At 45.0% G+C, this 22,179-nt stretch overlaps 1 protein-coding gene and 1 long non-coding RNA gene across 4 annotated transcripts in view, besides 2 other annotated features; one reads left to right on the forward strand and one right to left on the reverse strand.

Annotated features, from left to right (window-relative positions):
* Positions 1-9,561: 9,561 nt before the first annotated feature.
* Positions 9,562-11,792, reverse strand: LOC105371636 (uncharacterized). The gene is made up of 2 exons (XR_001738314.3): positions 10,953-11,792; positions 9,562-10,143 (listed from the first exon to the last, which is right to left on the reverse strand). It is a non-coding gene; the product is annotated as an uncharacterized LOC105371636 (long non-coding RNA).
* Positions 11,498-11,817: a silencer, noted in NCBI's record as "silent region_1592". NCBI's record gives its function as "represses an Ori minimal core promoter by ATAC-STARR-seq in GM12878 lymphoblastoid cells {active_cell/tissue: GM12878}" and the evidence as "EXISTENCE:reporter gene assay evidence [ECO:0000049][PMID:35858748]".
* Positions 11,823-22,179, forward strand: part of QSOX1 (quiescin sulfhydryl oxidase 1) — a 49,162-nt gene continuing 38,805 nt past the window's right edge. For all 3 annotated transcript variants that reach the window (NM_002826.5, XM_047426230.1, NM_001004128.3), the window contains exon 1: positions 11,823-12,126. In NM_002826.5, coding sequence (NP_002817.2) covers positions 11,862-12,126 — 265 coding nt within the window. In that variant the 5' untranslated portion in view covers positions 11,823-11,861. The remainder of the gene's footprint in view (positions 12,127-22,179) is intronic.
* Positions 11,998-12,097: an enhancer, noted in NCBI's record as "active region_2159". NCBI's record gives its function as "activates an Ori minimal core promoter by ATAC-STARR-seq in GM12878 lymphoblastoid cells {active_cell/tissue: GM12878}" and the evidence as "EXISTENCE:reporter gene assay evidence [ECO:0000049][PMID:35858748]".

Consider the following 22,179-nt stretch of genomic DNA (forward strand, 5'->3'; position numbering starts at 1 on the left):
CTCTTTGATCAGTGTCTCTTCCTCTAAACTGTAAACTACTAGAGAGCAAGGACCATGTCTTGCATTTACTACCAGGGGCGGATTTGGGTTTTCTGCAGTCTGAATATTTTACCATTGGGGAAGCAGGGGGATAGGGGTTGGTGGGGAGGGAGGCTCTCTTTAAGAAAATAAATACACAATTACAAATACAAAATTAAGTATAAATGAGTATTCATTTAGAGAATCAGGATCACAACAAATTCCTAGATCTTAAGAGGTTTAGGTCCCCTTTGAGGAGTTCACTTAGACAATTTAGCAGAAACACTGAAGTGTTTTCTGAAGGTAGCCAGGCTTCCTCTCTCTACCTAAAACATTCTACACCTCCGAGCACTCACATGGGCTTTGTGGGTGAGCTTCATCCTCATTAGCTGCTCAGTATGCCCATCTTTGTTCATCACTATATTGCCAGCACCTGGCATCATGCTGGTTATATAGATGCTCAATGATTCATGGCTATTATGATAATTTTTATTTTAAACCAACATTTCCTGAGCATCTACAAGGACGTGCAAAGACAAGCAAGGACAAGAGAGATCTGGTCTCATACAATTAGTGAATGGTAAGGGAGACAATCGCAGCTGTCATTACTTTTTTTTTTTTTTTTTTTTAGACAGGGTCTTGCTCTGTCACCCAGGCTGGAGTGCAGTGGTGTGATCACAGCTCACTGCAGCCTTGAATTCCTGGGCTCAAGTGATCTTCCCACCTCAGCCTCCTGAGTAGCTGGGACCACAGGCATGCCACCACCATGCTCGGCTTATATTTTGATTTTTTGGTAGAGATGGGTTCTTGCTATGTTGCTTGGGCTGGACTCGAACTCCTGAGCTTAAGTGATCCTCCTGCTTTGGCCTCCCAAAGTATTGGGATTACAGATGTGAGCCACTGACCTGGCTTGTGATTACTTTTAAGACAAGATTAATAATATAAACAAGTTGCCAGAAAGGACAGGCAGAAAGGTAACTTGTTTCAGGTAGTAAGACAAAGTTAGGAAGAGGAGCCCCTAATGTCAGCTAGAAAAATTTGAGCTCACCAAGTAGCTGACAGGGTATTTTATGTTTTTATAAAAGTACAGTAGTAGACAAGACATTCCAACTCCCCCTACTAGACCAGAAGTTGCAGTACCCAGCTGCAGGTGAGGCAGGGCCAACCACCAACTGCAGAGCTTGGCATATGAACGGCTATGTCTGCGCACAGCCAGCCCAGAAAGCCCATATGTCCAACAGAAGCATCCTCTAAAGGAGACTTGTTCCACAGACAACAGCACGGAGCAACTGGGTAAATAGAGAAGAAGGGGTGGAGCCTCAAGAATCCTTTAGAATGTCTGCTGAGAGCAAGGCTGTCTTAAAGTAAGAATGAGACATCTGGATGCTAATGTGGTCATCACCTGGGACCATAAAAACACTCAATATTTCATTTGGACAATTATTCAGCAAGCGTTACTTGAATGCCTACGTGGGCTAGGCAAATTCTTGCAAGACATTCTTTTTTCTCTGTATGCTTCTCTCCCCCTTTTTTGCACCCAAGTGGCTTAAGTCAAGTTTTCCTAAACACCTGGAAATCTCAGTACATTCATGACGCATCTTAACATGGGTATTGTGGCCTCCAGATGTACTCACACCTCAGCCTTTCCTATGAGTTTAGCCCTATTCTGTCTCAAGCCCTGTGCTGGACTCTTTCATTCTCCCATTTGATCCGTACAACCTTATCCCTCCCAGTGGTGGTCATTGTCCACTTTGGTCTGTACAGCCCCACGTGACCTCTTCCTCTGGTAACAGTACGCCTTCCTTACTCCAAACATGCAGTACCAGTGAAGGCTGCCAATTACAGTGCTTACTCTCCTACCTATAGGAATGAGCACATTGCCCCGGATGACCCATCTCCCTGACTATAGCGACTGATCTAGGCATGAACACATAACCCAAGCCTGGCCAATCAGTTCCCCCCAGTGTTTTTCTAACTAGGGTCAGCAGAGAAGCTCTGTCTTTTCTCTCTGACCTCAAAAATGAAAGCGTGTGACCAGAGTTCTAGCCTTCTGGAAGCAGCTGGGCTGAGAGAATGAAGCCAAAGTACAGAGACTAGAAGTGCAGAGAGGAAAGATGGTGTCACAGCTTTCCCCTACCCTCTATTTGGCTCTTTGAGGCAATCAGTTCCCCTTTCCTGCCACAGCTAGTTCAATTTAGCATCTTTTTGAGTGTAACTGAGAGTCCTGTCTAAGGAACTCCTTTATACAGACAAATCCCATAATCTCAGGGAGCCCCTTCAGCTGGCAAGAGGCTCAGCTTTTGTTCCCGAGTCTGAGATGCCCTTGAAGTTCTCTTGCTTCCTCCTTAGCTTCCCCCTCCACACTGGCTCCAGCACAGATCTCTGAACCAAATGCTCAGAGCTCAGAACCAAATATCCATGTTAGCACTGTTAAGACAGGGTAGATTATCAAAGAACTAACTAAAATTCTGAGTGGTAACAGCAAGGAAACAAACAACATGAGGTAACAAATGTACAAAACAGACAAGATGATAGAGAAGTCTTCAGCTAGATTGCTTCGGGGCCTGCGGGCCTATTCTACCTCATAAGCTATCTGAAAATTGCTTCATTCTCATCCTGAAGATGTGGGAAAAGATTTTAGCAATCCAGTCTGGATTCCTGGCTTCCTAACTATGAGTCTGACCCCACACGGAGGACATAGTTTTAAAAATTAACTAATTAAAAAATTAAAATGTAGCAAACTAAATTGATCTATAAATGTAATGCAATCTCAGTCAAAATCTCAATAGGCTTCCTATTTTTTAAAAGAAGCCAACAAGCTGATTCTAAAATTCATATGAAATGCTAAGAACTAGAATAACCAAAACAATTCAAAAAAGAGAAATAAAACTGGGGGATTGCTACCAATTAATATAAAGAATTACAGGCCAGGCACAGTGGCTCACGCCTGTGATCCCAGCACTTTGGGAGGCTGAGGCGGGTGGATCACCTGAGGTCAGGAGTTTGAGACCAGCCTGGCCAACATGGCAAAACCCTGTCTCAACTAAAAATACAAAAATTAGCCGGGTGTAGTGGCGCATGCCTGTAATCCTAGCTACTGAGGAGGCTGAGGCAGGAGAATTGCTTGAACCCGGGAGACGGAGGTTGCAGTGAGCTGACACTGTGCCACTGCACTCCAGCCTGGGCGACAAGAATGAAACTCCATCTCAAATAAATAAATAAATTAATAAATAAATAAATATCTCTCCAGCAATTCCACTCCTAGGAATATACCCAAGTGGACTGAAACATATGTTCATACAAAAACATATACACAAATGTTCATAGCAGCATTATTTATATAGCCAAAAGGTGAAAACAACTCAACTAATAAAACTCAATGGAATGTTATTGGGTCACTTAAAGGAGTGAAATGCTGACACATGCTCCAACAGGGATGACCCTCGAAAATATTATGCTAAGTAAAAGCATCCAAACACAAAAGGCTACATATTCTAAGATTCCATTTTAGACACAGAAATTAGGTTAGTGGTTTTCAGGGGTCAACAGGAAGTGGGGAGTAATTGCTAATGGGTTCCTTTTGGAGTTATAAAAATGTTCTGAAGTTAGATAATGATGATGGTGGCACAACTTTGTGACTATACTAAAAACCACTGAATTGTATACTTTAAAGGGGTAAATTTTATGGTATATAAAATTTTATCTCATTAAAAGACTTACTATGATGCTATAGTAATCAAGGCAGTGTGATACCAGCACAAGGATACCATATGTGTCATATACACATGTATTTTAGTGGAACAGAATTGGGTCTAGAAATAGATTCACACATATATGGTAAATTACTTTTTGAAAACTCTGCCAAGGCAGTTCCATAAGGAAAAGATAGTCCTTTCAATAAATGTTGCTAAGACAACTGGATATTTCTATGGAGATAAATGAACTTTGACCCTTACCCTTATATACAAAAATTAACTTGATATGAATCAAAGACCTAAATGTAAGAGTTAAAACTATAAAATTTATAAAAGAAAACATACAAGAAAAGGCTGGGCATGGTGGCTCATGCCAGTAATCCCAGCACTTTGGGAGGATGACATGAGAGGATTGCTTGAGCCTAGAAGTTCGAGACCAGTCTGGACAACATAGTGAGACCATGCTGCTATAAAAAAATAAAAAATTAGCTGGGCATTGTAGAGTGCCTGTGGTTCCAGCTACTCAGAGGCCGAGGTGGGAGGATCGCTTGAGCCTAGGAGGTCGAGGCTGCAGGGAGCTGTGATCGTGCCACTGCGCTCCAGCCTGGGTGGCAGAGCAAGACCCTGTCTCATAAAAAAAAAAGAAAGAAAAGAAAACATACAAAAACATCTTTGTGGCCTTGGAATAAGCAAAGATTTCTTAGGACACAAAAAGTGCAAACCACAATAGAAAAAAAAAAAGATAAATAGATTTCATAAAAACAAAAACCTTCTGCTTATCAAGAGATACCATTAAGAAAATGAATAGGCTGGGTGCAGTGGCTCACACCTGTAATCCCAGCACTTTGGGAAGCTGAGGCAGGTGGATCACCTGAGGTCAGGAGTTCGAGACCAGCCTGGCCAACATGGTGAAACCCCGTCTCTACTAAAAATACGAAAATTAGCCAGTCGTGGTGGCGTGTGCCTGTAATCCCAGCTACTTGGGAGGCTGAGGCAGGAGAGTCACTTGAACCCGGGAGATGGAGGTTGCAGTGAGTCGAGATTGCACCACTGCACTCCAGCCTGGGCGACAGAGCAAGATTCCGTCTCAAAAAAATAATAATAAAAAGAAAGAAAATTAATACACAAGCTATTGACTGAGAGAAAATGTTTGCAAAACATACATCTGACAAAGGATTTGCATCCAGCATATATATGTATATATGTAAATTTAAGTACATATATACCTATACATACAGAACTCTTACAATTCGGTAATAAGACAACCTAACTTTTTAAAAGGAGCAAAAGATTTCAACAGATACTTCACACACACACACACGAATATTTAAGAATAGCCATGAAAAGATGTTTAACTGTTAGTTACCAGGGAAATGCAAATTAAAACCTAAATGAGATGTATTACCCACCTACCAGAATGAATAACACTCAAAAAGACCGACACCACCAAATATTGGCAAGCATGTTGTGCATCCAGAACTCTCCTACATTGTTGGCAGGAATATAAAGTGGCATAATCACTCAAGAAAAGGTCTGATGACTCCTTTTTTTTCTTTTTGACAGGGTGTCCCTGTGCCACCCAGGCTGGAGTGCAGTGTTATGATTTCACCTCACTGCAACCTCTACCTCCCGGAGTTCTAGCGATCCTCCCACCTCAGCCTCCTGAGTAGCTGGAATTACAGGCATGCATCACCATGCCCAGCTAATTTCTTGTATTTTTAGTAGAGATGGGATTTCGCTATGTTGGCCAGGCTGGTCTCGAACTCTTGACCTCAGGTGATTGGCCCACCTCGGCCTCCCAAAGTGCTGGGATTACAGGAGTGAGCTACTGAGCCCGGCCTGATCTACATTTTGATTGCGCTGTTGGTTATACAGGTATGCACATTTCTCAAAACACATGGAAATATGAACTTAAAGTGGGTGAATTTTATTGTCTGTAAATTATATGTTAATAAAGTTGATTTTTAAAAGTAATACATGGGCATGAAAAAAAATTTTTTTTTTTTGAGACGGAGTCTCACTCTGTCGCCCAGGCTGGAGTGCAGTGGCACAATCTCGACTCACTGCAACCTCCGCCTCCTGGGTCCATGCCATTCTCCTGCCTCAGCCTCCTGAGTAGCTGGGACTACAGGTGCCTGCCACCACGCCCGGCTAATTTTTTTTTTTTTTTTAATTTTTAGTAGAGACGGGGTTTCACCATGTTAGCCAGGATGGTCTCGATTTCCTGACCTCGTGATCTGCCTGCCTCAGCCTCCCAAAGTGCTGGGATTACAGGCGTGAGCCACCGCGCCCGGCCAAAAAAAATTTTTAATGAAACGGGGTCAGAAAATTAAAATTTTCCTTCTCTACACAACCTCCCCAAAGAAAACACAAGGCGACGCCAGTTAAGTTCAATGCCCTAAAAAAGTCTCCGTATTCCACCTATTCATTCCGCCCTCCATCGTCGTATTTTTAAAAGAAACATCTAATATTTTAAAAATAGGAAAAATAGAAAACTGCTTTCCAGGCTGGGCACAGTGGCTCATGCCCGTAAGCCCAGCACTTTGGGAGGCTGAGATGGAGATGGGCAGATCACTTGAGGTCAGGAGTTCGAGACCAGCCTGGCCAACATGGCGAAACCTCATCTCTACTAAAAATACAAAAGTTAGCTGGGCGTGGTGGTGTACATCTGTAATCCCAGCTACTAATGAAGCTGAGGCATGAGAATTGCTTGAACCCTAGAGGCAGAGGTTGTAGTGAGCCAAGATTGTGCCACTGCACTCCAGCCTAGGCAACTGAGTGACACTCTGTCTCAAAAAAAAAAGAAAAAAAAAAAAAAGAAAAAAAGGAAACTGCTTTTCACCCTTGGACTGGTAAACTCTGTCAGGCATCTAGACTAGGCTGGGGCTTGGATAGGTAATGGGAACCACTAGTAGAGCCAGAGGTGAACATATAACAATCACCATAGCACTCATAGATGGGAACTACACACTTAAAATGACTGCTTGCCCATTTTACAGATGAGGGGACTGAAGCTCAGAGAGTTGCCAAGGACTGAGACCCAAGTATCCTGACTCCAAAGACCAAGTGTTCATCTACCTTACCCCAGGATCTACCACGAGAGTTAAACTGGTGGCTTTGGGGAAGAAGGATGAGCCCAACCTAGCTTCAGCTGACTGCCCTCTTTCAACTTGTCCCTGCTCCTCCCACCCTTCTCCCTCCACACACACATTTAATGCAGCTTCTAACATGTACTGATAACATTATTACCTTCTCTTCAGGGAAATTCTGAGAATGCTCTTGTTATTTAAAAAGTTGATAAATTCTGTCCATTTGCAGTCATAGTGTTGTATAGTACCTTATTTAGAGTTGTGAGTATTTATCTGTTATAGAAGAACTGCCGTATACATCCTTAAGTCACGGTAGGAAATATTCCAAATTAGAACATCCACTCCAGAAGCTTAAAGTTTCCCCAAATAAATCTTATAATAGCATCACGTTGCCAAGGTCCCCAGAAATCTCTGTGGAAGGTTAGCACCCTGTATCCCAGCAAATCAACAATGTGGCTTTCCTGTCTCTGACTTTAGGCCTCATTTGATGACTTGCAGGTTCCCAAAAGGCCTCACCCCTGATATTAAGCCAAAGACCACAGACAACAAGGTCTTCTTGATTCTATAGTCTTGTATCTTCATTCTACTCTAAATAATTAGCTCTGTGTGTGTGTGTGTAGTGTGTGTGTAGTGTGTGTGTGTGCGGGTGTGTGTGCCTATGCCCTTTGAATTGTCATCAGGTGACCTGGGGACCAGGGAAGGTTGACCTGAACATGGGAGTCTGCCCACATATCCCTTTCACAGACGTCCCCTTCTCAATACTTCTATGGCTGTATTGGAAAGCCTGGCAAAAATGGCTCTGCCATTACCTTCCTGCGTGGCCTTTAGCAAGACACTCCGCTTTTCTGGGCCTGTTTCCTCTACAGATACAGAATAGGGCAATTAGACTAAGTGTGGATAGGAAAGGATGAGCAGCTGGGAAGGAATCTCTGTTACCCTCTTCCTCCGGCTTGCTTTCTCTAATGGTCAGATAGATTTCTAGCCCCCAACTCCTACTCAGGAGACTCACAGAAGGATGTTCAGGGATTTCTGTGTTTTCCATTCTTATTTCTAAGGCCTTGAAGGGCCCAAATTTGGGGACCCTGTACTAGGTACATTATTCTCCATTCTCCACCCTCCACTGTCCTGCCTTTTGTCTTGGAAGCCAACTTCTACAGACTATATAATCAGGGCATGTTCACCCTCTGGCTTTGACTGGGTTTGGCCAGTGGGAGACAATGGCAAGAAGGATTGGAGGATTGGAGGAGAAAAAAGTGGAAGTCATACTCTCCCAGTGCCTCCCTGTGTTTCTGGCAGTGGTGGCATCATGTGATTGCAACACCAGTTGGGCAGCCCCTCTCCCTCACTTCCTGCTGTCACTGGTTTTCATCACAAAATTCCCTCCCTTTCTCTGCTCTGGTCCAGGAGTGCTAGAAAGGCTTTTTGCTTTTGCCAGTCCCTAATTAGTTCCCTCTGCCCTGCACACAACCTTGTGAATAGTTCTTCCAGTAAACCATTTTCAGTAGACCCTTGGAACGTGCTTTCTCTTTCCTTTCATATCTAACTGATACACACTCTTGCTATTTTTCTTCCAACTTTCAGAATTAGGGTTCTAACTGTCCCAGCTGTGGAAAGGTTCATCTGGAAGACCTAGAGTTTTGAGGGACAAAGCAAGGGTCTCTTTTCTGTTGCTGGGCACCTGCCTCCAGTTGCATACACCTTCTCTGATCCTTGGTGCGAATGAGTAAGGGGAAAGTCATCTAATGCTACTGGGTGACATATTTTACCAAACACTCTTCTATTGCTCACTATAATTATGTGAATTGTGTATAAGCTGCGTTCCTCTCATAATTTATTTCATTTTTGGGTGGCAGACTTCCAAATTCCCTCTCTTTTATTCATGCATAACACATGAATGATTCACAAGTGGTAAAGTCAACAGGGCCCCTTCCGCTTCAGTCCCCATCTGTAAAAATGGTTTATCAACCTCATGTTGAGGTTCAGAGTTGGTATAATATCAACCCTCATATTAAGGGTTGGTGTGAGGACTAAATGAGTACCATCTGTAAATCCTTAGAGCAGCAGGTGCAAAGTGCTAGCCCACACCATGAGTATTTGCTCATCTGATTCATCTCGGCCCCCTTTCCTACAATTTATATGTAGGAAGGGGGAAAAGGGGACTTCGGTAGGAATTTCTAAGTGCTCCCTCCAGCTTCCGGGGTTTTCCGCAGCACCCCTTCCTCTCTCAACACCCATTTCTGAGTAGATTTCCTTTTCCGCAACCTTTTCATCCCAGGAAGTTCCAGGAAGGGCAAGAAGGGCAATTGCGATTCTCACGTTTTCTGCTCTTAATTCTAAACCAGTGATTGTCAAATAGAGGCCTAGGGAGCCCCACTGACCACAGAAAGTGGGTTTTGCTCTAGGTTATATCTTTGTTATTGCTCTTATCTGTTTAAGTTTCAAGATTCTGTTTGAACAATGGTTTCCAAGTCTTTAAAAAGTCGAAAATCCCCCTTCTGATGAGATACAGAAACCCCAGACTTTAAAACTCTCAGTCTTAAACCTCTTTGGCACCATTGCCAAGAAACTTTTCTCTATTCCATTCAAATAGTTTGTATTCTTTGCCATTTCTGATGCTCTGAAACAGATATTCAAACAAGCAAGTCTTTATGTATTTATCTGGAGTGTCTTTCTCAAGCACTCAGCATGTTCAGTAGACATTTGTCTCCTTAATTTCTAGGCCCATGGGAAAGATAACTACAACACTGTTTAACAACAGAGACATTTGAAGGTACAAAACTTTACTGGAACCTGATCCAGCCGCTGCAGTACTTCCAACCCATAGAATCCAGCGTTACTAGAGGACCGTCCATTCTGGTTCCAGAGGCTGCTAGGAGCGAGAAAAGTTGGAGAGCAGAAGCTGTACAGGGACTGAGTCCCGGGGAGGAGTACCCAGCAACTGGAATTGGCTGCGTCATGGGGAGGAGAGTTAGCAAGGTACTAACACTCCAATTGGCTAACACATAATTTCTCTATGCAGCTTAAGACTTCAGGCAGACAGATATGAACACATGAAGGGAGTAAAAACTCCAACCTCTGGACCACTTCCTGGAGTGCTCCTAACCCAGACTCCCACAGGGCTTCCTCCCATACTTCATTTAGGTCTTTGGCTCAAATGTTACCTCTTTAGAACTGCCTCAAGACTGGGGCAAGAGGAGCCCCAGTCTAGGGCTCTGAGCACCTGATTCTCTTCCGTCCATGTTCCTTTCCATAGGGCAAGAAATCCCACGGGCCAACGGGATGTACTCACTCAGAGCTCTTGCCCCTCTCCTTTTTAGAGCATACTGTGAGTTCCTGGGACCCTAGAAAATAGTGCCGCAATAGCAACAGGTCACCAGCTACAGGCTGCCTCAGCCTTTTCCCAAGGTCTATCCTCCTGAGGAGCAAGGGGTGGTCAAGGGGAGGCTATTTGCAGGTGTGGACAAAACTCTGATGTGCAGATGTCGTTGTTATAGGTGTGGGCAAAAGGCCATTTGAAGTATGGGACAGAGCTGGGGTGCCAAGAGAAGAAGGAAGGCTGAGGGCCAAGGACATGTTCCCCCTCCAAAGCACTACATTCGAGGGCGTATCTCAGAAGGGTCCAAGAATCCTAAACTTAAATGTGGCCTTCCAGATTATGATGAAGGTATACATGTCAAGATAAAAGGATAGGAATTTTACATCACCGTTTAATTTGTAGTTTTAAAATATGTAGACATGATATGTGGGCCTCCATTTGTACTACTGACTCAGTTCTTGCAAATATTAAGGGTAGACCTGTCCCTGATCTTCGTGTGTAAAATAGCACCTCCTCTGCCACTCTATTCTTACCCCAGTCTACATTTCTTCATAACATCGGTCACCATCTGATCTACATTTACTTATGTATCATCTCTTTACCCCCACTGGAATGTAAGTTCCACGTCCCTAGAGTCTATATTTTGTTTACTGCCTTATCCTTATACCTAAACAAGTGCCTGGCATGACACCACTCAGTAAAACTTGAATAAATGAATAACAAATCTAGGCTCAAAGCTCTTACAGGTGAAAGGGGCTAACCTGGCAGTCACAAAGGAAAAATATCACTGTGACAACCGTCTGAGGAGCACCTTCTCCCCTTAAAATAACTCACTCAAAACAGTGGAGCTGCAAAGGTGACCAGAGAAAATCCATTAACACCTTAGTGCCCATGACACCAGGTGAGTTGATCGGGCTACTTGCGAGAGGGACATGTGAGTGAGCGTGGAGAGCTCTGAGTAGGCTGAAGAGCTGGATGTGGGGGATCTGGGCTGCTGGGAACCCCGAATGTTGGAATCGCCCTGACAACCTTATGAGGGTGGTCAGATATGGGTCCTGAGGAAACTGATTCCACGGCAACTGCCCGCCAACCCAGCACACCCCACAGTGAAGAGGGGCTTCTGATCCATGAGTAGGGCCCCTCAAATGATGTTCCCCTTTAGATGGTCATGGTCATCAGCAGGGGTGGGTGCATCGATCCTGTGGGGTCTTGGTGGTCGCAGACCAAGCGTCCCTCTTCTCACATCTAATTCACAACGTCTCATCGCTCCGCGGGAGCCCAGGAACTGCCCTACAACAGCCGAAATCCGGGTCGTCTATTCCAACGGACTCCTCTTCCGTTGGATACGGGGGCCGTGAGAGGCCAAACAACCTCCGCGAGGCTACCCCCGCAGCGACCGCTCGGCGGGCGCTCCATTCCTTTACCGGACTGTACACCTCGCCTCCTGGGGCCTGAGGCGGGAACCCGGGTCGCGCTGCTCCGAGGCCTCGGCGGACCGCGAAAGGATGGCTCACCACCCGGCCAGGGCCAGCCCCTGCAACAAGCTCAGCCCCGCCCGCTCCCGCGCCCAGGAGCGGCCGGCGGGGCGGGGTGGCTGGGCCGGCCTCGGGGGCGGGGGCTCGGGGGCGGGGGCTCAGGGGCGGGGCCACGTGGCTCCTCCTTGCGGGCGGAGGCAGGCGGTGCCGCGGCGCCGGGACCCGACTCATCCGGTGCTTGCGTGTGGTGGTGAGCGCAGCGCCGAGGATGAGGAGGTGCAACAGCGGCTCCGGGCCGCCGCCGTCGCTGCTGCTGCTGCTGCTGTGGCTGCTCGCGGTTCCCGGCGCTAACGCGGCCCCGCGGTCGGCGCTCTATTCGCCTTCCGACCCGCTGACGCTGCTGCAGGCGGACACGGTGCGCGGCGCGGTGCTGGGCTCCCGCAGCGCCTGGGCCGTGGAGTTCTTCGCCTCCTGGTGCGGCCACTGCATCGCCTTCGCCCCGACGTGGAAGGCGCTGGCCGAAGACGTCAAAGGTGAGAAGCGGGGGCGGCCCGCTCCCCCGTGCCCCGCCGCCCGGACCCCTCCACCTGCCCGGTGGGCAGCCTCCTACTCCGGGAGCGCGTCCCTCTTCCAGTCACCTCCGCCCACCTCTTCCTCTCCGCGCATCCCACGCCCACCACCTTCATGTTTCTCAGCTCCATTTTTGCCTCCCGCTCCCTTGCCTTTTCCTCTTGGCCCTCATCCCGAGCTTCTTTCCCTCTCCGCGGCCTGGGCCCCCAGACCTGCCCTGCTCGCCCGGTTCGTCCCCCGCCAGGTTACTGCCTCCTTCCCTGCGAGAGGTCTCCTTTGTTCCTTCCTCCGCATGGTCCGCTGACACCTTACCGTTTCCTGGGCCAGCCTTGTGGCAGTCCTCTTCCTCTCGTCCAGGGACCCATGTCATCTTCCTGCCAGGTTCCCTAGCTGCTGTGGGTCAGTGCTGGGGAGAAAAGGGAACGGACATCCATTTTGCCTCCCTGCCACCTTTCTCCACTCCCTCGACTGGTTGACCAGGTGGTACATAGACTTCCTTTCTCATTTTTGTCTTTGATGTGGGTATGTCCACCTGGCAGTTTTCCTATCTCTGTTCCGGGCCTCTCCTGACCTGCCGCCTCCAGCTCCTTAGCTTCTGGGCCACATCCTTCTCTCTCTTCCCCCGCTCAGACCCTTATATTTTAAACCCATGCACCCAGAGGCCTTTGGTGCGTGTTTGGCTCTTGCTCCATGTTCCCAATCCCTGGTTGGGGCACCAAAACTATATTTCCTGAATTCCAAGACACCATCAACTGTGAGACACACTGTTCATTTTATGACAGCCCAAGGGGTAGAAGGATAGGAAAAAACCACTACATGTATAAAGATTTGAAGGTGAACTCTATTACAGAAATGCTAAAATTTTGAAACACTTAAGACTTAGAGTCGAGGAAATATGGTAATAATAGTAATTAATATTTACGGAGCACCTATCATTTCAGGCACCTTACTAAGTACTCGGCATACATTGTCTCATAGTTTCCTTTCCACAATTTAAAGATTCCTGTGGTGTCACACATCCACCTAATCCAGGTAGTGGGTATTTGGCGGGCAGGAGTGGTATAGTGATAGTGATTTGTTCCTGACTTGCTGCCTCTGAATGGAGTTACTTCCTGACTCTGGTGCTAGGTCGCTAGCACGGCCTCCTACCCTGAAATGGTCATTGAATGAGAACTGTGGGCATCTTTGGAAATAGGCCTTTTTCTAGAGAAAGGGGAACTGGAACCATTGTTCCACTGTTGGTATTTCTTGATAAATTCAACTCTTTGTGGTAGAACAGTGCCTTTGTAGATGTTAGTTTTCAGACTCACCCTCCTCTTTTCCTGAGCAGCTTGCAGATTGGTTTCTGAAGAGGCGAGATGGAACCATGTGTACATCTTTTAGCCATATGGTCCTGGAAAATTATTTTTAAATGAAACTTATAAGCTGTTTTGACCTCCAGTTTACACTTGCCTACATGCCTCACTGGTCCCATTAGCTGAACGTGCCTTTCTGAGCAGTGCTTCACACCATTTCAACACATTTGGTCAGGGGAGGAGTGATGTCAACACATCTGGTCAGGGGAGGAGGGAGGAAGAACATGGATCATGGAACTGGAACACCTAAGATAAGGTAATCTCAGGGGACATTGTGGGCATGAACATCATAAAAATTCCCAGATCGCTTTCCACTTTGAGGTTATAAGAGGTGTTCAGTGGCTGCAGATGGACTTATTCTAGAATTTCTTCCTTCTTGAGAGTGCTGGGGGGAAAGATTAGCTTCCAGCTGACTCACATGTTTGGCCTCTTGCAATGCAGAGTTTTTAGTTTTCCTATGAGTTGCATGTCTAGATACTGACCCATTCTGCTCCTGGATGAGGGTTACCACTTCCAAACAGGATTCCCCAGTGCATGGAGCCTTTCTCTAAAATAAGAAAGCGAAATCAGAATTTAACCTCTGAAAAGGAAATGGAAGGATCAAAGTCTGTGGGGGTGAGCCAGGGTAAATGGGAGGTGGGAGATTTCAGTGGAAACTGGAGGTCTCCTGTGAGCCATTGGTGTGAGTCAGTCCTTGAGCCAGATCGTGTTGGGAGGGCACTGGCAGAATCTGCTGTCAGCCTGCAATGAAGAATGTCCTCCACTCTAACCCAAAGGGGTGTTCCCTGGTGAGGCCCTGCTGAGAAGCTAGGGTTGGTCTCGCTTCATCTCTGTGTCCTGAGGTTTCTTGAGAAAGGTTGGTTGTGGGCCCGCAGAGGGCTGTGCTCATCCCACCCTGGGCTGTGTGAGTACTGCCCATGCTCTCTGCTGAGGACACCTGTATCTTGAGGCAGGAACAGAGACAGAGTGAAGGTCACAGGGAGAGAGAAGAATTTTGCAGCCATATTTGGCTGGCTTCAGGCATTTAATCTGACTGAATAGGGTTCATTTCTTCAGTGACTAGGGCAGTAGATTCTCTAGGCACCTGCTGCCCCGGGGCAGAGCATGTGTTTCTGAGAACCTGGTTTATCCCCTTTCTATTCCAGAGCAGCTCCGGTTGTCTCACTGTATGTTTTGGAAACTGGTTGTATCCAATTTAGACCTTCATTGCTATTCACTGGCTAATCAATCAGCAAATATTTGTTGAGTGATAAGCATTGTTTGCATTGCAGTTGGGGAAATGAGCTACTCATAGAAGGAAAATTGGCAACTGTTACAAAGCTGTGTTTGAAAAAGGCCAAAGGAGTGGTTCAGCCATTTCTTATGGGAACCCAGGGGAGGGGAAAGTCACAGAGGGCTAATCTGATCACCAGAGGCCTTCATGCCAGTAGTTATTTATTACACGCTTGCCTTATGCCAGCACTTTGCTAAGGGCCTTCACAGGCCATTATTATGACAATCCTTACCCGGGAAAATATCTGTACTATGGATATTGTCTTCCTCTTTTTTTAAAACAGGTAAGTAACTTTCCAGGTTTACACAGATGCTGGAGAAGGTCATTGACTCCAGCTCTTTTTGGCTTTCTGGAGCCTGGGCAGGTAGAGAGGTGGGTGGAGGAGGAAGGATACTCCAGGTGGAAAAACAGCATGTGCCGAGCTATGGAGGTGAGGTTCGTAAGGCGTGTGTTTGAGTGACAGTGAGCAGTGTTGGTTTTGCCCCCCTTCTCTTCCACGGCACAGGCCACATCTGCTATGTGTACCTGTGATTCCCAGCACAGAGCCTGGTGCAGAGTAGGAGCCCACTGCACGTTCATGGTGGCCAGTGGCCTGAGCCTCACAGGATTCCAAATGACAGCGTGAGTGTAGAACCTTCTGCTGGTGCCGTGGATCCTCTTGACTCAGACCGGGGGTGTCAGCCAGGTGTGAGGGGTAGAGAAGGCATTTTGTCCATCCAGTGACGTCACTGCCCAGAAACTGTCAGCAAGGAGGAAGGAAGGCATGAGTTGGTGACCGCATAGTGCTGACTAGCTGGACAGGGCATAAACTAACTCTCTGTGTCAGGAGAGCTCCTGAATTCTTCGGTGTAGAGTCCAGAGCTGAGGGTCAGTAGATTCTAGTCACTAGACCACCAGGTCTGACTGGCTCTTGGTGGTTTGGGTAAATCTGTGCCTCTGTCTTCATGGAAGTCCAGACCCACTTAACACTCGGAGGCTGCATGTTTCTTGTTAAGAGTTGTTTGCCATCCAGCACCTCAACGGTTGTCAGAGCTAGAAGGGGCATTAGAGATCATTCATCCTGGCCCTCGCTGATCCAGGAGGAAGCAGAGGTCCAGAGAGACATGTGGAGCTCACGGTGCTGCAGCCAGTTAAACTCCAAGCAAGGCTTCCTGCTCCACCCAGTGCCCTCCCTGCACTTGTGAGTGGGGCAGGGGACGCTGCCCTTGACTCCAGACCAAGCCCCCAGTGGGGGCTCAGCAGAATCCCCACAACACCCCCTACCAGAGGGCATCCCCTCACCCATCAATCCAAGATTTACAGCTGTCCAACTTCTCTTGCCTCGCCACCCTTCCCCTCTCCATTAGTCCATTTATTCTGTGGTTGGTAGAAAAATTACGCTGTTCAGAGCAATAATTGCACCAGGAAAGGGTTTTCTCCCCAGTAGTAGAGCTAGACTGATACTACTGATCATTTTGGTGTTAGGCATTTAAGACACCTGACACTTCAAAAAGCCTCTGTCACCCAGCTCTGCATTGCGTTGACAGTAAAGCTTAAATGCAGCTTTGCTTTAACAATGGAGCACTCACATAAGGACCTTCTCTATTCCATCTCCTGTTACTTGTCAAAAGACAAAATTACACCACATTCAAAAATCTTAACTGGCTTCTATTTGTGATTCTGGAATCGGACAACACCACATTCTGTCTTACAGAATGAGTATTCTGATGAGCTGAGCAGAGGAGTTTGGCTTTATAGACAGAAAAAGGCTGAAGAAAGTAGAAACAGATCAAAAATCTGATTGGTTATTTCGGTCCCTTTTAAAGGTTAAAGCAGAGGAGACTTCTGTATGTTGGCTGAAACTGGCTTGTTTGAAGATTTGACTGTTAACTCACTCTCTCCTGATCTTGGAAGGTCAGATCGACAGCTTAGTTTTGGCTTGGTGGCGTGGAACTTCAGCTTGAGGGACTCCATCTTGGTTTGGTCTCTTGGGCCTTGTGCAGGAGCTCAGTCCCAACCAATGGCCTCCTAGAAATATTATTTAACAGTTCTCCCCTTTTGGTCAGGTTCTCACCTAGGTGAGAGTTACTAAAACAGGGCATCAGCACTACTCTCAGTAATCATCGTTTTGGGTTTTCGGTCTTAACACATCATTTATAGGTTAAGGTGTCCTCATTATCATGCGTTTCTTGGAGTTTTATCATTCCAGCTGGAGAGAGACCATTTAGCATTCAGCAGAGGGCTGCATATAGATATTTAAGACTCTTTGAGAGGATACAGTGTAACAGGGAAACTACTGTAATGACTCTCCCCAGGATAATACTAAGAGTTTACAATATGACGCTTAGCCAGGGACCCATGAACCAAACCAACTAAAATTGAAGAGATCAAAGAATGAGCCAGATGAGGAATTTACCCTTTTTAAGCAAGTACTATTTGTTCATTTTTTTGCAACTGAGTCTCAATACACTATGTGTCTATCCATGTGCAACAGAAAGTGTCAGCAATTGCACAGATTCCCTGTTCGCTAGTAGGTAGCAGTTCTATTATCTAGTATCCCATGACTGGGTTAAATTAAAGCAGGAAGTGAGAACACATGGGTCTAAAAGTCTGACTCTATAAAAGGGACCACTAGTACAGTTTGAACAACAGTTGTGTTAGGGATGTTGCTGAAGTTACCCACTGGGCAGACTAAAGGATCCCTTTGGTCATGTAAAGATCTGGGTTTAGCGTGACAAATCCAACAGTTTGTGAAGTTACCCACAGAAGCCACTGATTGTGAAATTCTAACTACAGCATTATCCTGCCAGACAAAAAAAGGTAGATGTAATCAAGGATAAAGTGGAAGTCTTATTCCAATGAAACTCTTGTTCAGAAGTTTTGGGAAAGCATGAAGTTGTCAACTTCTTGTCCTGGTTTGCAGTTTGATTGTCTCTGGTTATGGCATTGGGCATTTTGGTGAACTCTTTGTGTAGCGTACACGTCAGGCATGAGACTTGTCCCTTGAAATGTATATCAAGTTGTTCAGCTTCTGTTTATAGGGCTTTAGGCACAGAACAGTTCCTGTTCTTAGTTGGAGAATTGTAGCTAGTTATTGGAAGAAACTGGAAGAATTCAGAATTCAATCCATCTTATAGGTAGATGATAAAAACTTGAAAATGATCAACAAGGCTACAATCTAATAACAGATGTACTATAGTTTTTCTTTAGGAACATATTTTTTCTCTCTATAGTCACCCCCATTTCTACCAAAGATAATCAGGGTAAGTGGGAGGCAGAGGTCACAGTGAGCCGAGATTGCACCACTGCACTCCAGCCTGGATGACAGAGCAAGACTCCATCTAAAATAAAATAAAATAAAATAAATAAAATAAAATTCAGACTAATTTGCTTGCAGAAAATATTTAGTCACATCAGACTTGGCCTAATTATTTACATAAGTGTGGCAAGAATAGTGATTGACCACGTAGGCTCTTCTTAAGTTTGCTTTGCTAGAACTTATCGATAAGGAATCTCAGATTGGACTTTTAACAACTTCTCAAGGCTAGGAAGTCAACCCAAGCCCAACTTCAGATTTCACCTGCAGTACCTATAGATTCATCATAGGTATATTCTCAAGTATGGCATCACACTCAAAACCTTGGTAATATGACCAGTGTTTCCTATTGTATCCTGTTGTAAAGAGAGCAGATACTTATTGAACTTATGCAAATAACAGTATTGCCATAAAAATAGGAATATTCACAAATAGTTTCTGAATTCCAGAGAGGTCTTGTAGGGAGAAAATGTTTCCATTTTTGTTCACAAGAGTATACTTACCAAATTGCTGTAAACTATAGATAGCTTAAAAGAAAATAAGTTTTCTTAAATCTGGACAACAAAACATTAAAAAGAACCAGCAACGTTTCAAATTTAAAAACCAGAAAAACCCATAATTCTTCATTAGTTCATTTAGTCTCATGTAATTAATTCTTGTTGTGCTTGATCTTGGTTATCAGTTTTGCAGACCCATCAGTTTTTTTCATTAGAGTTCTGGAAATTCTTTCCCAGTCCAATCGTATTATCTCGAAGTTATCAGAAATGGTACTTATCAGAGACGTTTCCGTGGATCTCCTTGAAGATGAAGCACTTCAGGATTATAGTTGCTTAGAAAAAAGCTTTTAGAAAAACATCAGAATAAAGCAATTAACTGTAGACAATAAGACTTAAAATGGTTGTGGTTAAAGATCTGATGAGAGTTCATAGTAATAATGACACAATTGACAAGGAAATCTGGTTATTGCTGTGCATACAACATTTTAACCTAATAACCAAAATTAAGGCTGATAATGTATCATATTTCTAGGAATATCATATAATTTTGGGGATACACCTTAATAGCAAGTATAAACATACATCAATAAATATAACTCAAAGAAGATTAAACATCATTTCTTGTTTGACAATGCTTCCCATATAATTAATACATCAAATGAGCCTAACTAGTTTAGTATCTCCCCTTTGCAGAATCTTTGAGATGTTCCAGGGCCCCCTGAAATGTTCCAAAGTTACTTCAAGTTCAGAAAGCCTTAATTTAGAATTTGATTTTGGGAAGTTTGTACAAAATGTCAAAGGTTTAAAATTAAAACACTTAATCAGCCTGGGCATGGTGGCTCATGACGGTAATCCCAACACTTTGGGAGGCCGAGGCAGGAGGATACCTTGAGCCTAGGGGTTCGAGACCAGTCTGGGCAACATAGGAAGACCCCATTTCTATATTAAAATTTTAAAAAATTAGCCAGGTGTGGTGGTGTGCACCTGTGGTACCAGCTACTTAAGCAGCTGAGGTGGGAGAATTACTTGAGCCCAGGAGATTGAGGACAGGTGAGCCACGATCGCACCACTGCACTCCAGCCTGGATGACATAGTGAGACCTTATCTCAAAACAAAAACAAAAAAGCAAAACAAAAAAAATCACTTGATCAAAATAGGATCACAGGTCACTGTGAAGTCACAGTCATTCATCTAACCAGAATGATAATTAAAAGACTTCAAAATGAAAATATAGAATGTTACATTGTTGCAGAAAAAACAGCTCTTTTATAGAGAGGACTCCATTTTCTTAAGTAATCAAGGACCTAGTAAAGACAACATGAAGCACAGGGAATCATCTTGATGAAACAAAGGATCTTTCTTTAGGAGAATTACCTAAAAGGTACAGAAAAACCTTTCACTGTTTCCTTTTAAGAACAGATCAATACTTCAAGAAAACCTTGTTTTAACAGAGAGGACCAAATTCTGATTTTTCATCAGTGTACTTTTGATATTAAGGCTCATCAAAAAAAAAAAAACACAAAAACTATAAGTTAGCCCATTCGACCACACTTGAAGTTCTTTTCTCTTCACAACTTCCTTGTATCCATTGGTTTGTCCTGTACTGTTCCTCTTTCTCATTGTGAAATAACCAGTCACTCTACTTTAGAACAAAATGACTCTCTTTTTCCCTTAATTAAAATACATCCTTACATTTTATGACTTCCTTTATAAACCGTGCCATACTTCCCTTGCATACAGAATTATGTCCCTTATTATTTTTAGTTTTAGTTGCTTATATTAATTAGTTTTTACTCCTTAGTAATCTTAATTTCTAGTGAAAACTAGCAAGCATTGTGAACTGTCTTCTATTAACATTCACCATTTCATAATTTCTAGAAACATGTTTCCTCAGCTTTTCATGCTTATTACAGACCCAATTATATTCTCTATGCCATACAAAAACAAGATGCCAAAGCATATATACTTTAGACTTATGTTCAGCAATTAATGTTTCAGTATTTTAATTTACTTAGAAATGATATTTTATGAATATCTATGACTTAATTTAACGTAAAATAACCGTAAGAGGAGGCTGGATATGTGGACAGGGGCCAAATGAAGAACTGCCTTCTGGTTGTAGATTTTCTTCTAAAGTCAGTTAGAGCCCCCAGAGAATGTTGAATAGAGATTGACATAATCAGATCCACAGAAAGAAAAGATCATTTGGTGGCTAGAGAGGGCAGTGAGGGGTGGAGCACATTAGAACCTCACCAGGAGAGAAATAATATGTTGATGTTTCTCTGGAAGCCCTGCCATGAGAACCTGTACTAGCTCATGGGACACGGAGGGTAGGTTGGAGGTGAGGTCAGTAAAAAACCAGATCACGGGTTCATGCCAACCTAGGACAGGCATGAAGAGATGGAGGTTTGGGTGAGGGAAGAGACTTCAGAGGAGAGTGGACAGGATGTGGAGGCAGGTGGGGATCAGCAATCCCCTGGTAGGGGCAGAGGGATTGCATCCTGGGCCTGGCATGCAACAGGCCCTGACCATACCTGCCTTTGTGCAGGCTGCCTTGCAGGTGAGGTTTAAAGCCAAAGGATGCACCCCAGCTTGCAGATACTTGGATAGGCTCAAGTTGCTATCCTTGTGTGCTAAGGGAGTCAAGAAGGCTCCCCAAAAAGTGTGTGGTGGGGGGGTGTTGAGGAGGTTGGGGAAATGGCATCATAGGATGTAGCTCACCTCACTCTGCTAAATACTTTTGACGTCTGACTCTGGTAAATACCTCCATCTACTTCCTCTTCCCAACCCCCCACCCACCTCCCTCCTTCGAGGAGTCCAGAAGCTACAATGCCAAAAGCAGACTACCAGCAAGAAAGGTGGGGGAAAGAAGGGGGTGGTGTGGCCACAGGCCTTCCTCCCAGCTCGCAGAGCCCCCTCCCTTGTATCAGCCCCAAGAAGGGCCAGCTTAGTTGCCTTCTTTCCAGGGATGCGTCAGGGTGTGCCAGGCTCTTCCTGCATCTGTCTCGTGGAGGTGAGGGTAACACTCCTTCCCCAGGCGTAACGTGTTCTTAGGAGCTCTGATACCTTCTGAAATTGTGTTCTTCTGAGACGTCGTAAGGAGTAAGTTCTAGGGTGGAGTATTAGGGTGTTTTTGCATTGATAAAAGTAAGTACCTGAGGCTAGGTAATTTATAAAGAAAAGAGGTTTAATTGGCTCAGGGTTCTGGAGGCTGTACACAGCATCTGCTTAGCTTCTGGGGAGGCCTCAGGGAGCTTTTACTCATGACAGAAGGCAAAGCAGGAGAGGAAGCAGGAGGGGGTTGGGAAGTGCCACCCTATTTTAAGCAATCAGATCTTATGAGAACTCAGAGTGAGAACTCACTCGTTATCAAGGGGGCAGTGCCGAGCTGTTCATGAGGGATCTGCCCCCAAGATCTAATACCTTTCACTACCTAATCTAATACCTTTCACCTCGTCTAACATTGGAGATCACATTTCAACATGAGATTTGGAGGGGACAAGATCCAGACCATATCAGGTGGGGTCAGAGGTCCTGCTAAAACTGTGACTATCAGGGATGTTATTCAGATATTAGTGTTCTGTACTTAATGGGTG

This window comes from Homo sapiens, chromosome 1 (assembly GCF_000001405.40).
Source record: "Homo sapiens chromosome 1, GRCh38.p14 Primary Assembly".
Lineage (NCBI taxonomy): Eukaryota > Metazoa > Chordata > Mammalia > Primates > Hominidae > Homo > Homo sapiens.